Source organism: Homo sapiens, chromosome 5 (assembly GCF_000001405.40).
Source record: "Homo sapiens chromosome 5, GRCh38.p14 Primary Assembly".
NCBI classification, from domain to species: Eukaryota; Metazoa; Chordata; class Mammalia; order Primates; family Hominidae; genus Homo; species Homo sapiens.
Window position 1 is genome coordinate 528,058 of NC_000005.10, and position 17,087 is coordinate 545,144.

The following is a 17,087-nucleotide window of genomic DNA, read 5'->3' on the forward strand; positions in this document are numbered from 1 at the left end:
TCCTCACCCGCGGAGACTCACCTTTCCTGGCTCCCTGAGGGCACCAGCCCGGGTTGGAGTCAGACCCCCCCACTGTGACACCCCTGCGGGGGTAGCTCAGGGCCTGTGTCTGAAGCGGCAGCTCCCCCCGTGGGTTGGGTGGGGAGTTCAGGGGCCCCGGGGTTGGGTGGGGAGCTCAGGGGCCCCGGGGTTGGGTGGGGAGCTCAGGGGCCGGGGGCTGCGCCGGGAGGGGCGAAGGGCTGGGGACGGCGCCGCAGGAGAGTCTCTGTGCCCCGCAGTCCACCCCAGGGCAATGGCGCGGGGGACCTGGCAAGGCCCGGCAGGCCCTCCCAGCACCGTCCCCGGCCGGCCCGTCAGTGCCCGTCGGGGTCGCGCGTCCTCCCTTCCGCCCTCGGGGACAGCCCGGCCGGCCACGCCGCCGAACTCGCCATGGGCCTCTCTCCGCATCCGCATGTGCATCCGCAACCGCTTCCGTCCCGCTGAGCGCACGAACCCTCTCGCTCCTGTCCCTCCCGCCCCGCCCGCCCCGCCCGCCCCGGACGCCTCTGCTGCGGTGTCTTAGCGGTCCGCGGACAGGCGACCTCCCCCGTGGACGCCCCTCTCCCGGCCGCCGCCCCGCCCCGCGCCCCGCTCCCCCGCGCCCCTGGGCCGAGACCTCCGGTCGCCTCGCCCCGTCTCCGGCCACGAAAGGCGCTGCGGACCTGGCGGTCACGCGCGAAGCCAGTGGCCTCCCCCCGCCCGGGGCTCCGGGATCCGGGCACCAACAGACCCGGAGGGACCGCGCCGCCCCGGGCAAACCCGCCCACCCCGTTGCCCAACACAACTGGAAGCACTAAAACCGAATCCAACCGTGTGCAGAGACCAGCCCAGCGCTCTGGGAGGCCCAGGCAGAAGGATCACTTGAGGCTGGGAGCTCGAGACCAGCCTGGGCCACATAGTGAGACCCTGTCTCTAAAAAACATAATAAAAAACAGTAGCCGAGTGGTGGCGCTCGCCTGTGGCCCCCGCATTTCGGGAGGGGAAACCCTTGGGAAACGTAGAATAGAAGCAGATTCCTTTAAGCTGATAGGTAGCATCTGTAAGGCCGGCAGGAGCAGGTGCTGGCACTCAGGAAGCCTCCTCTGAAGCAGGAACGTTTGCCACCTGCCCCCACCCTCAGCCTCATCTTTGGAGCAGGTGCTGGCACTCAGGAAGGCTCCTCTGAGGCAGGAACCTCGGCCACCGGCCCCCACCCTCAGCCCCATCTTCAGGATGCAAGACAGCTCCCGCCTGTAGGCAGCACAGAGGTCTTCCTCGCACACTCTCAGAACCGGCAAGAGTTAGCTCAGCAAGGCTGCTGGCTACAAAGCCAACAAGCCACCGTGAACTGGGTTTCTATGCACGAACAACACACTTTTTAGAAAATGAAAGCTAATTTAACAGTACTATTCATGCAGCATCAAAAATATGAAATACCTAGGAAAAAAAAATCTAGCAAGGGGTGTGGCGGAAATTTATAGGATAATTCAACAGTGAAACCAAATGGACATGGAGCTTTCTTTGTGGAAAGGTTTTAAATGATGGATTTAATTAATAAATATTAGGCTGTTTGGACTTTTCTTTTTGTGTCCATTTTGATAAATCATATTTTTTGACTTTTTGTCTTAATTCTGATAAATTGTACTTTTCAAGAAATGTGTTCATTGCATCAAAAATTCATGTTTATTGATGTAAAGCACATAATGTGATTGTAATCTCCCCTGTGTCCATAAGACTCTGCAGTGATGTCTCCCTTTTGTACCTCCTGGCGATGATTTTTGTTTTCTCTTTTTTAATGATCAACATTGCTGGGAGGTTTATCAACTTTATTCATCTTCTCACAGAACCAGATTTTGGTCTTGTTGATTTTCTCTGATTTATATCTGTCTTCTCTTTCATACATTTTACTATGATTTCCTTCCTTCTGCTTTGCCTTTATTTTGATGTCCTTTTTCTAGTTTCTTGAGCTGAAAGCATAGGTCATTGGTTTCAGCATTTCCCCTTTTTAAATGTGGAACTTTTTCAATAAGCTGTGGATTTCCCTTTGGTGGCTAGTTTTGCATATCCTGGAGGCTTTTTCATATGCTGTGTGTTCCTCATTCAGCTCAAGACATTGTATCCTGGACGCTTTTATATGCTGTGTGTTCCTCATTCAGCTCAAGACATTTTCTGATTTCTACTGTGGCTCCTTTGACATATGGGTTATTTAGAAGTGTGTTGCTTAATCCACAATTGCTTAATTTCTAAACATTTGGAGATTCTCCTCTTATCTTTCTCTTACTGAATCTACTGTAATTCCACTCAGCCCAGAGAACACAGGCTGTGTGACCTCAGTCCTCTTATGTTTGGCGAAAGGCGCTTTGCGGGAGGAACCTGGACCTCAGTCCTCTTATGTTTGGCGAAAGGCGCTTTGCGGGAGGAACCTGGACCTCAGTCCTCTTATGTTTGGCAAAAGGCGCTTTGTAGGAGGAACCTGGTCTGTGTGGGTGAATCTGCCTCAGTCATTGACGCAGTTCTGTGTTCTGTGCTCTGCTCAGACTCAACGGGACTCGTAGGATGCAGGGACGCAGAGCTCTAGGTGTGCTGGTTTGTTCCAGTTGGGTCTGAAAATCTTTATCTTCCAAGACCTTTTCTTAGTTAATAACATGCAGACGGCTGACGGCAGCCCCCCAGGATCCTCACGCTGCAGCTGAGCCTCTCCACCTGTGTGGGCAGCAAGGTTTCTCCCTCTCATCGCCCCCGTGCCCGCCATGCTCAGGGATGCGGCCTGTGCGCCCCGTCACGGCTTCAGACCTGCTCAGAGGAAAACGAGCTCACTCTGCTCTGGGTCCTTGGATGTGTTTTCTTCTGCCTCCTGGACTCGGTTCATTTCCCCATGGCGTCTTTATAATTTGCGTCCCTTCAGCAAATGTTTGCTTGAGCGGTGTTAGTTTCTGCATGAGGCACAGACGTACCCTCTGAATGCAGGCAGCACACGGGAAGCAGACCCTCGAGGGGGACGAATGTCAGAGGAGATGCGCAGGCAATTTGTGAGCGTGGAGTCGCCAGGAAGGAGAGATGCGGCCGGACTGGATGCCACATTCCACCACCCAGGCCGGCTCACCTCTGCGCGGCCGCGTTCCAAATCATTGTTCACACAGAATTTGGCTGCAGCGGGTGTCCTTGAGTCTCTCACACTTGAGTAATCATCCAGGTCTCCTCCTCCGGCTTCCTTTGAGGCCCTGGCCCCCCAGGGGCTCCGGCGTGTGTCCCCAGCAGACACTGCCTGGCCTGCCTGGCTCAGCCTTGCATCTACCCCCAGGGTGTGTTTGCCCCTCCTCCACGAGATGCGCTCTTGTCCTCCCTCTCCTCCCCTCCAGGGACCCTCCAGAGGCTCGTTCACTGCCTGGAGACACAGCGACAGCCCTCGCCACTAGCTGGAGGCTGGTGCTGGTGTGGGGCCTCAGACCCCTAGAAACACCGGGAAGTCAGGTGGAGCTGCGGGAGCTGAGACCTGGAGCAGGTGGCTGGCCGAGCCGGCACTGCCCTCACTTGGCATGGACCAGTCTTACTGTGCCTTGGAGCACCCCCCGCAGAGCAAGGGTGGTGAGTCCCTTGGCTACAGGGCTGGGCACGCTCTAGGTGGTTGACACGTGTGTGCACCAGGTGTGCAGTGGGCAGGCACCATCACACTTGCCGCTATTCACCGGCGGGCATTCCCACCTGCCAGTGGGGGTGGCTCTGGCTGGGGTCACCTCTGTGCCTGCCCCACAGCCCTTCCACTCTGCCTCCATAGAAACAGCTGGAGATGGACGGAATTGCTCTCTCAGGCAGCTGTTCAGTCAATCTTAGCTCACGCTGGATCCCAGATCTGTCCCTCCCCAGGAGCGCTCAGCTCTCCACTCTGCCCCATCCTGCAGCTTCGGCTTTGACTCAGACAGGCCGGGAGATCCCTGGTATTTCTGGTCAGATGCCTGCCGTGGGGAGAAGAAGAAAACTCTGGAGCTGGCTAGGCCCAGGTCCTCACCAGGCTTGGGCAAGGTCTCCTGGACATCGACGGGCCTCACTTTCCCCATTCGGCTGTGGTGATGCACGCTGTGAAAGGCTCTGAGCTGGACCAGGGTCTCAGTTTCCCCTATGTGGTTGGGGCACATGTTGTGAGCAGCTCTGAGCTTGACCAGGGCCTCAGTTTCCCCTATGTGGTTGGGGCACATGTTGTGAGCAGCTCTGAGCTGGACCAGGGCCTCAGTTTCCCCTATGTGATTGGGGCACATGTTGTGAGCAGCTCTGAGCTGGACCAGGGCCTCAGTTTCCCCTATGTGGTTGGGGCACATGTTGTGAGCAGCTCTGAGCTCGACCAGGGCCTCAGTTTCCCCTATGTGATTGGGGCACATGTTGTGAGCAGCTCTGAGCTGGACCAGGGCCTCAGTTTCCCCACGTGGCTTTGGCACACGCTGTGAGTGGCTCTGAGCTGGACCAGGGCCTTTCCCATGCCATGTACCTCAGTGCGTCCCTGAAACTGTCAGAGTGACCTGAGTGACCTGTGTCAGGCGGTGACCGCCCAGCCCTTGCACCTCAGACCTCCTGGATGGAGAGGACACTCAGCTCACAGGGCAGTCTGACGAGAAGCCTCTGGAGCTGTGGAATGGCTCAGGCTGCCGGACTGGGGGCCAGGTCCCCTTCGGCCTGAAAACAGCCGCCATCTCAGCTGGCCGGGAGCCCCGCCTTGCCTGGAGTTCAGTGGTATCAGGCCAGGCTCAGAGCAAACACGGCCTGAAAGCCGTGACAACGGGCTGCCGTGCTGGGCTTTGTCTGAGCTGACGCTCGGGGACTTAGGGAGGCTCTCGAGTTCAGAGCCAGGGCCCCTCCTGGCACAGCTCAAAGTGCATCGTGCTCCCGGAGGCCCCCATTCATGGGCTGAGCAAAGGGCTCGGGGGTTGGCGAATTTGCCCCCATCCGTGGGGGCGAACACAGCTCTGTTGGCGCACTCACTGCCGACAGCATTTCTTCTCAAAAGAATCCAAGAGATTTCTCCAAAGAACAGCAGCTTTGTTCATGGGAATAAGTTCAGAACTCCTACTGGTGTGCTCTGAAAACTGGTCATTCATGTTCTCATGCATTTGCCGTTATAGCCACATTCTTGAGTGTGAGCAAAGGCTGGGCTTGCTGTCCCTCCAGACATTTGGGGAATTGGGGGCCACGCTGAGCCCAGGGGTGAAGCAGAGCCCAGTGGTGCTGGGGACCCACTGCAGGGGCAGGCCCATGCCTTCAGCTGGGTTGGATCACAGCCTGGCCCCCTCCTGACGCAGCCTCAAAGAGCCTGAGAGGTGGGCACCTGTGGCGGCAGGAGGAGGGCCGGTTGCTGCCTCCGGATGTGCGGGGCACTCAGCTCCTCTCACGTCTGTGGAACCTCCACCTGTTTTGCTTTGAACGTGGAGCCGCCTAGACTGGCAGGGCTCGGAGCAGCCAGAATTGGCCCCGGTCACCCTGGAGGCCCAGAGCCATCGGGTGGGGGAAGGGCTGGTTTGTCACAGCCGTCTCGGCCTGTGTGGAGCTCTCCCTGCCTGGGGAGGCTGCGTGGCCTCGCTCAGGGTTCTGTTCACACTGCTGGGCGGGGGCCAAGGTCGTTCACAGGCAGAATCTCTGACCCGAGTCTCAGCACCAAGACCCCTGTGGTCACCCCTTCACCAACGCACAAACAGTGGACCCAGGGCCCTGGGGTTGGTGATCTTGTGGCCAGGGGGTTCTGACCTCCTCAGGGTCGCCAGGCCCAAGCCCCCTCCTGGCTCTGTCCGCCTAGAAGGAAGAGGCATTGCCTAAACCTGGAGACAGTGCTGGATGCCCAGGTGCACTGCTGCTGAGAGTGGAAAGTTCCCACAGAGAGGAACGCCTGCAGCCGGTGGGGAAGCGGAATTCCTAGGCAGAGCGCAGCGCTCATTTGCACACATTAGCCTTTCAGATCTGGACACCGCTCATGCCAGACCCAGTCGGCACAGAACAGCTGCTGGGGCAGGACTCCGTGTCCCTGAGCTCAGAGTCAAGGGCCTGGCACTCGGGGTCCCCCCCGGCTCCCTCCTGTCCCGAAGTCTCTTCCTTCACAGTCCCTGGACCCCACCGGCAGGTCCACAGGGAGGTGCAGGGCCGTCGTCACCTCATCACTCCCGACTTCACGGAGTGTCTGCACCTGACGCTGAGCCGCGGCCTTCCCTGTCTCTGACCTAACCCTTCCGCGAGTGCCAGCAATCGGGAAGAGCAGTTGTTCACGGAGCCGCTTGGGAACTCACCCCACCTGTGCCGACCCCAGCACAAACCTCAACCTCCTGCAGGCGGGGCTGGCTCAGCACAGGGTAGGGGGTGACTTGCCAGAGCCCGGGCAGGATTTGTCTCCCAGCCCGGTGCACCACGGCCCCATCCAGGATTCGTCTCCCAGCCCGGTGGACCACGGCCCCATCCAGCCTGTCCTGGCCACTGCTCTGTGACCTCCCAGCCCTGGGGCCCTGCAGAGGCACTTGGGCGCAGACAGGGCAGGCCTGAGACGGCACCTGGAGGGAGGCTGGCTGCTGGGACACTGCTGGGGACCAGTGCTCTCCTCCCTGTCCGAGCGGGGCCAGGTGTCCCCTTCAGGCCTGGCCTCTGACCCTGGCCTGTGACCCTGTAGCTCACGCACGAGGACATCCTGAGTTGACCCAACCTGCCCGAGTCCAGCTGCTTGTCCAGACTCCTGCGAGAAAACCCAGAGCGGAAGTGAGGACTCAGGTCAGCACCCCCATAGGAAGGGGGACCCGGGGTGGACGCGGAGCTGAGGGAATGGCATTCCTCAGCAGTGCTGTGGGTGGTGCAGCCCCCTCCGCATCCCCCTGGGACCTAGCAGGACCCCACATGCTCACTTCCGGCCCCCAGCTGTCCCTGGCTCCAGCCCTGGCAGGGCCCCTGTCTTCTTGGGGTGTGTGTTGGATTTTAGGTGTGCGGAGGCCACAGATGGTAGTAAGCTGGGCCCTGAGGATGGCTTGGGAGATGTGCAGTGGGGCGGGGCCCTTGTCTTCAAGCCACATCTCCCTGTGGGAGGGCCCTGAACCAGCCACCAGCAAGGCCGTGTGGACAGCTGGGACCACCAGGCTGGACCCCAGCAGAGCGCTGGTTTCAGCCGCCTCCTGCCCCCGGCCCCTGCCTTCTGGGACCCTCACCTCACCCTTGCCCCCGCCTCCCCAGGGGCAGGACCCCTCCTCCCAGTTGAGAACCTAGAGGCCTCCCCGTTGGGGGTCGTTGTGGGGAACCCAGAGGCCAGTGAGCCTGAGGCCTCCTGTCCCTTTGCAGTCGGACATCATTGCGGGCCGCTGGCACGCGCCCTGCAGCCGGCGCTCGGTCCCGTGGGTGTCTGTGCTCCCCTGTGGGCAACGTGACCCTGGCAGCGCCCAGCAGTGCTCAGTCTGCCGTGTGCACACAGAGCCCCGTGCTGCCCGCTCGCCGTGCTTGGGGGGCTTGTGTGAGAGGTGTGGACTGTGGGGCCTGAAATGTGCTCCGGGGGCACCTGCGGCCAAGGCCCCCTTCCGAGGTCCCGCTGCCCCTCCCAGACTGCACCGTCCCGGATGCCATCGCTGGGGCCCCACCCCGCCCACCCCACCAAGACCTTGCAGGACCGAGCCCGCAGCCCCTTCATGTGCTACCCCCCGCCCACCCCACAGAGACCTTGTAGGATGGGGCCCATAGCCCCCCAACGTGCTCCCCCAGGCACAGGCTGTCCTGGGGTCAATCGGGCTGTGAGGGAGACTTGTCTTGTGATGGACGTGAACCCTAACTTCCTCCCAGAAAAGGAAGCCACCAGGTTCATGGGATGTAATACGGAGCAAGAGTCAGGATGCTGGAGTGCTCTGAGTCACCGTTGGGTGGCCACTCCCCACCCGCAGCCCACCTGGGCAGGGCGAGCCAGGGACGCAGGCGACAGCTTTGGGTGGAAGACAATATGCAAATCAGGACATTTTTCCTCGTGGTTCAGAAGTGCTTCCTTGACAGGGCTTCAGCCAAGCCCCAGGCAGACGCCAGAGCCGCAGATGCAGAGGCCCAAACAGCCTTTGCTTGCCAGGAAATGCCCCCTGGATGTTTAGATTTCGGGAATAATATTTTCAAAAATCAATCTCTCATGCGTCTGTTGTTTCGGCTGTGACAACAAGGGTGTTTTCCTTGGATGTGTGCACAGGGCCCCCAGCTCCCTGCAGCAGAGTAAGCCCTCGGCAGAGACAAAGTGGACTCTGTCACAGCCCTAACAAGCCGACCACCTGCTGGCTCGCCACTTCCTAGCCGGGCCTTTCTCCCTGAGTGTTGTGTGTTAGTGATTCTGTGACTCTGCCTTTCTCCCTGAGCGTTGTGCGTTAGTGATTCTGTGAGTCTGGCTTTTCTCCCTGTCCGTTGTGTATTAGTGATTCTGTGACTCTGCCTTTCTCCCTGAGCGTTGTGCGTTAGTGATTCTGTGAGTCTGGCCTTTCTCCCTGAACGTTGTGTGTTAGTGATTCTGTGACTCTGCCTTTCTCCCTGAGCGTTGTGTGTTAGTGATTCGGTGAGTCTGACTTTCTCCCTGAACGTTGTGTGTTAGTGATTCTGTGACTCTTTCTCCCTGAGCGTTGTGCGTTAGTGATTCTGTGAGTCTGGCCTTTCTCCCTGAGCGTTGTGTGTCAGTGATTCTGTGACTCTGACTTTCTCCCTGAGCGTTGTGTGTTGGTGATTCGGTGAGTCTGACTTTCTCCCTGAGCGTTGTGTGTTAGTGATTCTGTGAGTCTGACTTTCTCCCTGAGCGTTGTGTGTTAGTGATTCTGTGACTCTGCCTTTCTCCCTGAGCATTGTGACTTAGTGATTCTATGAGTCTGGCTTTTCTCCCTGAGCGTTGTGCATTAGCGATTCTGTGACTCTGGCTTTTCTCCCTGAGCGTTGTGTGTTGGTGATTCGGTGAGTCTGACTTTCTCCCTGAGCGTTGTGTGTTAGTGATTCTGTGAGTCTGACTTTCTCCCTGAGCGTTGTGTGTTAGTGATTCTGTGACTCTGCCTTTCTCCCTGAGCATTGTGACTTAGTGATTCTATGAGTCTGGCTTTTCTCCCTGAGCGTTGTGCATTAGCGATTCTGTGACTCTGGCTTTTCTCCCTGAGCGTTGTGTGTTAGCGATTCTGTGAGTCTGACGCTGCACAGGTGGGCGATGCTTTGCTCCGGCCGGCTCACCTCCCCGATGAAAGCCCGCTCAACGGCATCTGCAGGGCACTGCCCACCCCACCGCGGGGCTGAGACACCTTCCCTAGCACGGCCTCGCGTCTACAGAAAGCCGCTGAGAAGGCAGGTGGGGTCCGGCGCTGCCCACCGTTCTCCAGCCGTGCTGGCCACCACTGGGCTCCCAGACCAAGGCCCATGGACTGTCCCCCATGCCTGTCTACCGTGAATACACTCATTGCTCAGTCTCTAACTTCCCTATTTAGAGACTGAGTATTATACACTCAGAAAAATAACAACAGCTCACGGCTGCTGGCCCCTTGCGGGTCCCTACCCGGGTTTCATCTGATACCTGTGGGAACCTGGTGCGGCCAGCCTGGCATTCACCTCCACTCCTAATCCCATTTTAAAACAAGGAAGCGGAAGGCTTCAGTGGCCGGCCATGGGTCACGCAGTCACAGAGCCAGGCCCCGCTCCCTGCCAGGCCCCACTCTGCTGGCCTCGCTGTGGACGTTCTCACCGAGTGGCAGCCGTGTCTGCATTGGCCCGAGGGCCTGGGGGAATCCCGTTCCCACACTGGTTGGCTGTGCTGCCTCTAGGGAGTCACTTGGCCTCTCTGTGCCCAGCGTTCTCATCTGTCAGGTGGGGGTCACACCATGCCAGCCCACTGCTGCCGGGGAGGTCCCTGGCCCAGGGCCAGTGAGTGTGGGCACAGCTGCCCTGCACAGGAGAAGGCGGCTCTGCGTGGATGGAAGTCGTGATGGTCACAGTTGAGCCACTGCCCAGGCGTGAGGTCAACACAGAGCTGAGCCAGAAGGAATCCACTCAGCCCACGAGCTCAGGGTTGGTTGGTGGGCCAGTGGGAGGCTGGTGATTTGAGAGGAGAATAAGGCGTGAGGTCAACACAGAGCTGAGCCAGAAGGAATCCACCTAGCCCACGAGCTCAGGGTTGGTTGGTGGGCCCGTGGAAGGCTGGTGATTTGAGAGGAGAAGAAGGTCACGGATGCTGACGTTCCATCAGTTCACTGATTGACCCACGGCCCCGGGTCGCAGGCGTTCCGCTAGTGGCCAGCGCATCATCAGCCACGTTCTTGGCGTGCCGCTCCTGCGGGTCTCACCCCCTTCACAGGGAAGCCCCCAGATTCTCCTCCAAAGCCTGGAGTCACCGACGGCAGAAGCAGGGCTGAAAGGGCACCTGGATGGCCAGGTGGGCAGGCGGCTGTCGGGATGGGGGACCCCGGAACCCCACTGGCCTTGGGCAGCCATCTTGGGGGTTTCAGGAGATGCACAGAGGACAGCGGCTGGGGATGCTCAGCTCTGTCCCATCACCTGTGCCTGCCTGACGATGCCGCCTCAGCCGCCCAGGGCTCCCTCAGGGAAAACGTCGCCAAGCACCGACGGCTCAAGGGAGTAACCGCGCCTCTGGGAGATGGCGTCCCTGACTTGGCTGTGGCACCAGGCTGGCCAGGGGACTGTTGGAACATTTGCGGAGGAGCACAGTTGCCATTTCCTTCATGCCACACCTGCCCCAGCTTGTGTCTGTGTGTGATGGCACGGTTTGGGCTGGCAGGAGGGGCACGGGTGCTTGGGTGTTCGCTCCAGGGTCTTCCCAAGACCCTGCTAGCACAGGCCTGGCAGCAGTCAGCCAGAGAGAGTCAAGGAAGCAGCCGGCACAGGACCAGCATCTGGCCTGCACTTGTGCCTCCTAAGCCCAGCCCCACATGCGTCTCCCAGCCAGCCTGGAGCTCAGGAGACACAGGCAACAGGCGAGGAGTCCCAACTACACGCACGACGAGGTGTCCTCGGTGGGACCAGGTGATTGAAATAAAGCGTGGTGGCATGTGTGCGTGTGTGTGCATGTGTGTGTCCTCGGAAGGGACACCAGCTCTGTGTGTCTGCAGCTCTAGAGCAGGGACCTCGGCCGGGAGCCTGGCACCTGTCCCGTGGGCTCGCTGGGACAAGCGCTATGCCCACACAAAGCTTTCCCTCTTCTTCCTGCGTCAGCTCGCCTGGGAGGGGCTGTGCACAGAAGAGCTGGCCTCGGGGCTCTGTCTGCTGCCTCGGCAACTGCAGCTCAGGACTCCTGGCTTTGGAGAAGTCGTTGCATGGATCGGGGACCAGAGGCCAGAGGGCCGGGCTGGGAAGAGGAGCTCTCCGGCTGGCAGCTTCTCCGGAAATGAAATCCTCTGCACCCTGGAAGGCAGACTCGCACCCCTGGTGCCCCTACCTACCTGCTGGCCACACGTGGACGGCCGCATCTGGCCTCTCAGATGGGCTGGGAGGTGAGCCCAGTGATGATGCCTCCACCCTCTCTGGCTGTAGTAACCAGCCTGTAGGAAGGGAGCTGCCCACGCCTGGGAACTGCCTTACTTTGCCTGTCCCTGGCCCCCTGACCTTGCCTCCCGGTGCTGTCTGTGAGCCAAGAAAGAAAAGCTGCCATGTCGGGGGTGCTGGCCCTGAGGTTGCTGTGCGCATGAGCCCCCCACAGCTGGACTCTGCGCCAAACATCAATAGAAAACGGCGACAGTAACGTGACCCCCGGCAGAGCTGTCACTGAGGCGGCAGCCAAAGCCCGGTCCCAAAGCTCCTCCTCAAATGGGGTGGGTGCAGGCATCAGGGCTGCACCGGGGCCAGGGCACCGGGGCTCCCTGCAGCGGGTCCTGGGTGTGCGGCCGAGGTGTGTCTGCTGTGCCCCCCAGCCCCTCCCCACCCGTGACCTTGGCATCGATCACAAAAGGGAAGGCTCTTATCAATCAGTGCTTTGCTGTCCTTCTCATTCAATCTTTATCAAGCGACAGCTCCGCACTGGGCGACACCGTGGGGTGTGTAATTATTCATTAACTGGTGCTAATTAATGTTTATGTAGACATTCATTGTGTTGTGTGCCACGCACTGCCAACAGCCACCCAGAGGCTTCCATTCAAGAGGGCTGTCCCAGTTGTGTCGGCAGCTGCCTCTGCAGACCCCCTGCCTCCCTGGCGGGCCAGGCTCCCCCTCTGGGCCCCTCACCCGCTCTGGGGAGCTGCCCGGATGCCCCCTCAGCACCCACCCTGAGAGCACGGGGGCACTCCCTTCCCCTGAATCAGCTCGCGATCTCCACGCCAAGCCCTGGCCTCCCCTCCCATCTCCACGGCCCTGCCTCAGCCTCAGCTCTGTGCCCCTCCCCTGTGTCCCCGGCTCCTCTCCTGTGTAGCCCGCCCCTACTCCCTCCATCCAGAGAGGTCCAGCCTGGATGCCCACGCCTCCCATCTTCTCACTGATCTGTCCCCAAGACACAGCTCCGCCAGGGTCACCGAGGCCTCTGTGCTGCCTCATGGCAGGGCTGGAGCTGGGATGGCCTCTCTGGATTTTGGGCCTGTGGCTCTCGCCCTCTGCCTCCTTCCCAGCCCTTCGCCCTGGAGCGGGGCAGCCTTGTTTCTCCTGACTTTCTGGGCATGGTCTCTCAGGCTTTGGGTCCTTCCTGACTCAGGGATCTCAGCTCGGAGCCACCTCCTCCAAGAAGGCTCCCGGCTGCACCCACTTCAGGCACCTTCTGTCCTAATGCCCGTCTCCCTCCTGGCCTGCTGCCCCGTCCTTCTCTCCAGGACGACTTTGAAGCCATCCCAGATGTGCTATGATTTCATCTCCAATAATAATAATAAAAGCAACAATGTGTGCAGCTGAGGGGTCCTGATATGCATTGCGGGGCCTCACAGGGGCTTGGACCATGCTCGGCCTTGGACAGACACAGCCGGGAGGGAAGCATCCCGCTCCTGTTAACACACGTGACCCGCAGGCTCTGCAGGACATGCCGGCTCTTTTGCACAACCTCTTGGTGCAGCAGGGGGGTGTTGAGGGACCAGGAAGGGTTTGGTCCCCTCCTCCACCCCCTCTGCCTCCCTCCCCATCAAGTGGGCTGCCCGCCTCCTGGGTTGGGTCCTGGCTCCTCTGGAGGGGCTGCTGTGCCCACCGCCCTCCTTGCCATCTCTTCTGGCCTGGGGTTGGGGAGGGGGCTGGCAAGGGCGAGGCTTCTCATCCATCTTGCAGGGCTTGCCTGGGGCCACAGGGCTGCGCTGGCCTGGGGGGCTCTGTGCGCCTTGGGCTGGGGCGAGGCAGCTGCCCTCCGACCTCCAGGTCACTGAGGATGGGGTGCCGCCCTTCCCCCAGGGGCAGGTCACGTGGGGTGCCCCGGACAGGTCAAGGAAGGGGCTCTCATGCCTGGGGCTGGTTGGGGCCACCTGGGGGGGAAGGTGACAGTGCTCTTGTCCCCAACCCTGGGCTGCCTGGTAAGACCTGAGGGTCTGGGATGAGCTCAGGGCCTGCAGCCCTCTGATGTCTGCACAGACACAGCTCTGTGGGAAGCAGGTGCCCTGGTGAGACCCTTTCGCCTCTGGGCCCCTCCACCTTCCCCTGCTCCTCACAGATGCCCCCTGCCCATCACAGGGCCTGAGGCAGAGGCTTTGAGGGGGCGGGGCCTGGAGAGGGCCTGGGGCGGGGCATGGGGGAGATGGGCGTGGTAAGCAGGTGGAGCCTCTTGAGGATGACACTGGGGTGGGGCTGGGGAGGGGCCGGGGCCCTAGGCTGACCCCGGGAGGGAGCATCACCCTCAGCTGCAGGCAAGGGACGGGGCTGCTGGTGAGAAGCTCAAGCACAGGCCCTCAGTGAGGCAGGGAGAAAATGGCACAACCGCGGTGCCTTCCTAGGACTCTGGCTGTGCTGTGGGAGTCGGTGCTGTCCACTCTGTTTGAAGCTCTCAGGTGGAAGGGGCAGGTGGGGCATCTGAGGCACCGACCTCAGCTCCCAGCCCTGAGCAGAGGACGAAGGAGCCCAAGGTCCGGGAGAAGCCCCTTTTCCCATCTCTGGGGCATGGGAGGGGCCTGCACTGGCTGAGACCCAAGTTTCCAGCAGGTGAACATCGGTCCTGGTCCCACGTGCAGGGCAAGGACGACCCTGAAAAGCCCCTGAAAAGCTGGGGTGCCCACCGTGTCTCTGAAAGGCTGACGTTCCCACCGCATCTCTGAAAGGCTGACGTTCCCACCGCGTCTCTGAAAGCTGGCGTGCCCACCACATGACGTTCCCACTTCATCTTCTTAGGTGCTTTTCTTGAAAAGTTTTGTTTTTGTTTTTGTTTTTTTTTTCAGGTAACAAACTGTCACCAAGGTCATGCCTAGGCCCTGTCTTGACAGCCCTCAGTGGCCCCGGTGTGTCCCCTGGGAGCACAGGCCCCATGGGTGGCCCGGCTCTGACCCCACGGGCCCTTCCTTCTGCCGAGGGCACTTCTCAGGCTTGGGTGCACAGGGCTTGGGTGTGTGGCTCCTGCCTGGGGCCCACTGAGCCCTGAGCTGCACCAGGCCTCGACCTCGGAGCTGAGGTCTGGGTCATCCTCCCAGGGAGGGTCTGGGAGACCTCAGGTCAGAGTATCCCACAGACCCCACAAGTGACATCCCAGCTCCTCAGGCCAAATCTCCTGGACCCCAGAAGGAGCAGCTGTATCAAGAGGAAGGCTTTGGTGACGCTGCTGCAGGGACAAGGACTGCTCCGTATGGCAGAGCCAGGTGCGAGGGGCTCGGGTGCGACGGGGAAGCTTTGGCAGCAGGAAGCAGAGGCGCGGGACAGCGGGAGGGAGGGTCTGGTGTTCTAGTGCTCGGTGGAGGACCGCTGAACGTGCTTAGGCAGTGACATGAAAGCCATCAGGGCAGAGGGACAGGCAGAGGCCCCAGCATGCGAGAGGCAGGTGGGCGTGCGGGGTGCAGGGACCTGCGGAGGACATGGAAAGGTGTCAGCTGAGGGCCCTGATGTGTCTGGGGTCACCTGCGGAGGAAGGTCCAGGGGAGGAGCCTGCTGCAGGCGGGTGGGGAGGGTCTCAGCACCACAGCAGCCGGGGCCAGGGCTGGGCTGCAGGGCCAGGTGGGTCCAGTGAGTGTGCTCAAGCCGCCTCGTGGAGGGGAACTGGCAGAGTGCTGAGCAGAAGCCAAGGTGCCGCCACTCGAGGGGCCGGATGCTGGGGTCCCAAGAATGGTAAAGTGGGGAAAGCCGCTGAGGGCCTGGATGCTGGGGTCCCAAGAATGGTAAAGTGGGGAAAGCCGCTGAGGGGCCGGATGCTGGGGTCCCAAGAATGGTAAAGTGGGGAAAGCTCTGAGGGGCTGGATGCTGGGGTCCCAAGGATGGTAAAGTGGGGAAAGCCGCTGAGGGCCGGATGCTGGGGTCCCAAGGATGGTAAAGTGGGGAAATAGGACAACAGTGTCGGAGCTGGTGCTGGGCTTAGTTGGAGACACCCAAGGCCTGGTGCAGCTGAGGGCTCAGTGGGCCCCAGGCAGGAGCCACACACCCAAGAGCCTGAGGTTGAGGCTACAGCGGAGGCCAGAGGGAGCTGGGCTATGGAGGAGGATGCAAGGGTTCTGGGGCATCACCCTGTGGGCATTTGAGGTCCCCAGGACAATGGCAGGACAGGAAAGCCAGGTCTTTGAGGGTCCTGAGCACACGCCTGGGACAGCAGCTCTGGCCCACAAAGGCTATAGTGCCCTTGGAGCCTGGGGGGCTCTGGGCAGGGCCCACGGCTGAGTTGCCTGGAGCCTGGGGTGAGGGGTCCAGGACAGACACTGGGAAAAATCACCTGTGGTGACCCCCGCCTGGCCCTGCATCCCTCAGTGGCTCAGAGGTGGCCCGAGGTCACGCCGAGGCTCCGTCCTCTCCTCAACCCCGTGTGGTTTACCACGTCCTCATCAGCCAGGGGGTGACTAACTGCCAGGAACAATTGGCAAATGGGACCGTGGGTGGGAGCCCATCCATCCTCCAAGCCCACGGTCCAGGCCAGCGCAACAGCTTTCCAGACCACAGGCTCCTGTCGGGGATTTCAGAAGATCCGGAAATCATTTTACGACCGCATTACCTTTAGCCAACCTTGCTCATTGGAGGAAGGTGAAGGTTTGGGGAAGTAAACGCAGCCGCGAAGCCCCAGCCCAGTGCTCTGCCCGTGAGGCCGTGGGAGGGGCTGGTCTCACTTCCACTTCCACTTCCTGTTTAATTTTCATAGGCTTTAAAATCACACAGGCAGAGTAGGGAGGGCAGGCGCTGCCCTAGCAGAGAGCTGGGTCAGATGTGGGTTCACAGGTGGAGCCTGGCACATTCGTCCCCGAGAGTGAACAAACAGCACCCCGGGCCCGGCTGCCCATTCCTTGGGATAGGAGGACAGCAGGACAGGAGGCATCGAGGACACAGCAGCTTCCTGCTCTCACACGCTGAGGGGCCGGGGCCAGGCCTTTGCGCACCAGGCATCCCCTCAGTAGGACTCAAGGCACTGCACGCCCCCCAGGGGTCTCCTTCCTGCCTCCAGTCAGGCTGTGGGACCTGAAGCTCCCCAGGGGCCTTGTCTGGCTTGGCTCTGAGGTGGGTCCCAAGTGTCACATGAGCCTGGTGAGACACAAAACCCAAACAGGGCCAGGAGACCACCAGGGAGGCCAATGCTCTTGGGGTGTGGGTTGGAGGGGCCAAGCCTCTGAAGCTGGTGTCCCCGCCTGCTGGCCATGTTGGGGTGCCTGTCTCGTGCCACCTGCTTGCAGGCCAGGGGGTTGTCACTGTATTTCCTCCAGGTCCTGTGCTGCTCAGGACTCCCTGACCCACTGGAGGGGATTAGCAGCTGAGGACAGCTCTGAGAAGCCTGGTCGGCCCCGGGTCCTGCCCAGGCATCTTCAGCTGCGTCTCCTCACCGGGTCTCTGAGTGAGAGACGAAGCCAGCTGGACTTCCTGGGTTGAGTAGGGACTTGAAGAACTTTTCTGTCTTACAAGAGGATTGTAAAATGCACCAATCAGCACTCTGTAGCTAGCTAGAGGTTTGTAAAATGCACCAATCAGTGCTCTGTAAAAACGCACCAACCAGCACTCTGTAGCTAGCTAGAGGTTTGTAAAATGGACCAATCAGCACA

At 60.3% G+C, this 17,087-nt stretch overlaps 1 non-coding gene across 1 annotated transcript, besides 2 other annotated features; it reads right to left on the bottom strand.

Moving 5' to 3' along the window:
• Positions 5,673 to 6,192: an enhancer, noted in NCBI's record as "H3K4me1 hESC enhancer chr5:533845-534364 (GRCh37/hg19 assembly coordinates)". NCBI's record gives its function as "activates a minimal SCP1, AML or CMV promoter by ChIP-STARR-seq in primed H9 embryonic stem cells {active_cell/tissue: H9 hESC(primed)}" and the evidence as "EXISTENCE:reporter gene assay evidence [ECO:0000049][PMID:30033119]".
• Positions 7,783 to 7,825, bottom strand: MIR4456 (microRNA 4456). Its single transcript, NR_039661.1, has one exon. It is a non-coding gene; the product is annotated as a microRNA 4456 (primary transcript).
• Positions 13,276 to 13,861: an enhancer, noted in NCBI's record as "H3K4me1 hESC enhancer chr5:541448-542033 (GRCh37/hg19 assembly coordinates)". NCBI's record gives its function as "activates a minimal SCP1, AML or CMV promoter by ChIP-STARR-seq in primed H9 embryonic stem cells {active_cell/tissue: H9 hESC(primed)}" and the evidence as "EXISTENCE:reporter gene assay evidence [ECO:0000049][PMID:30033119]".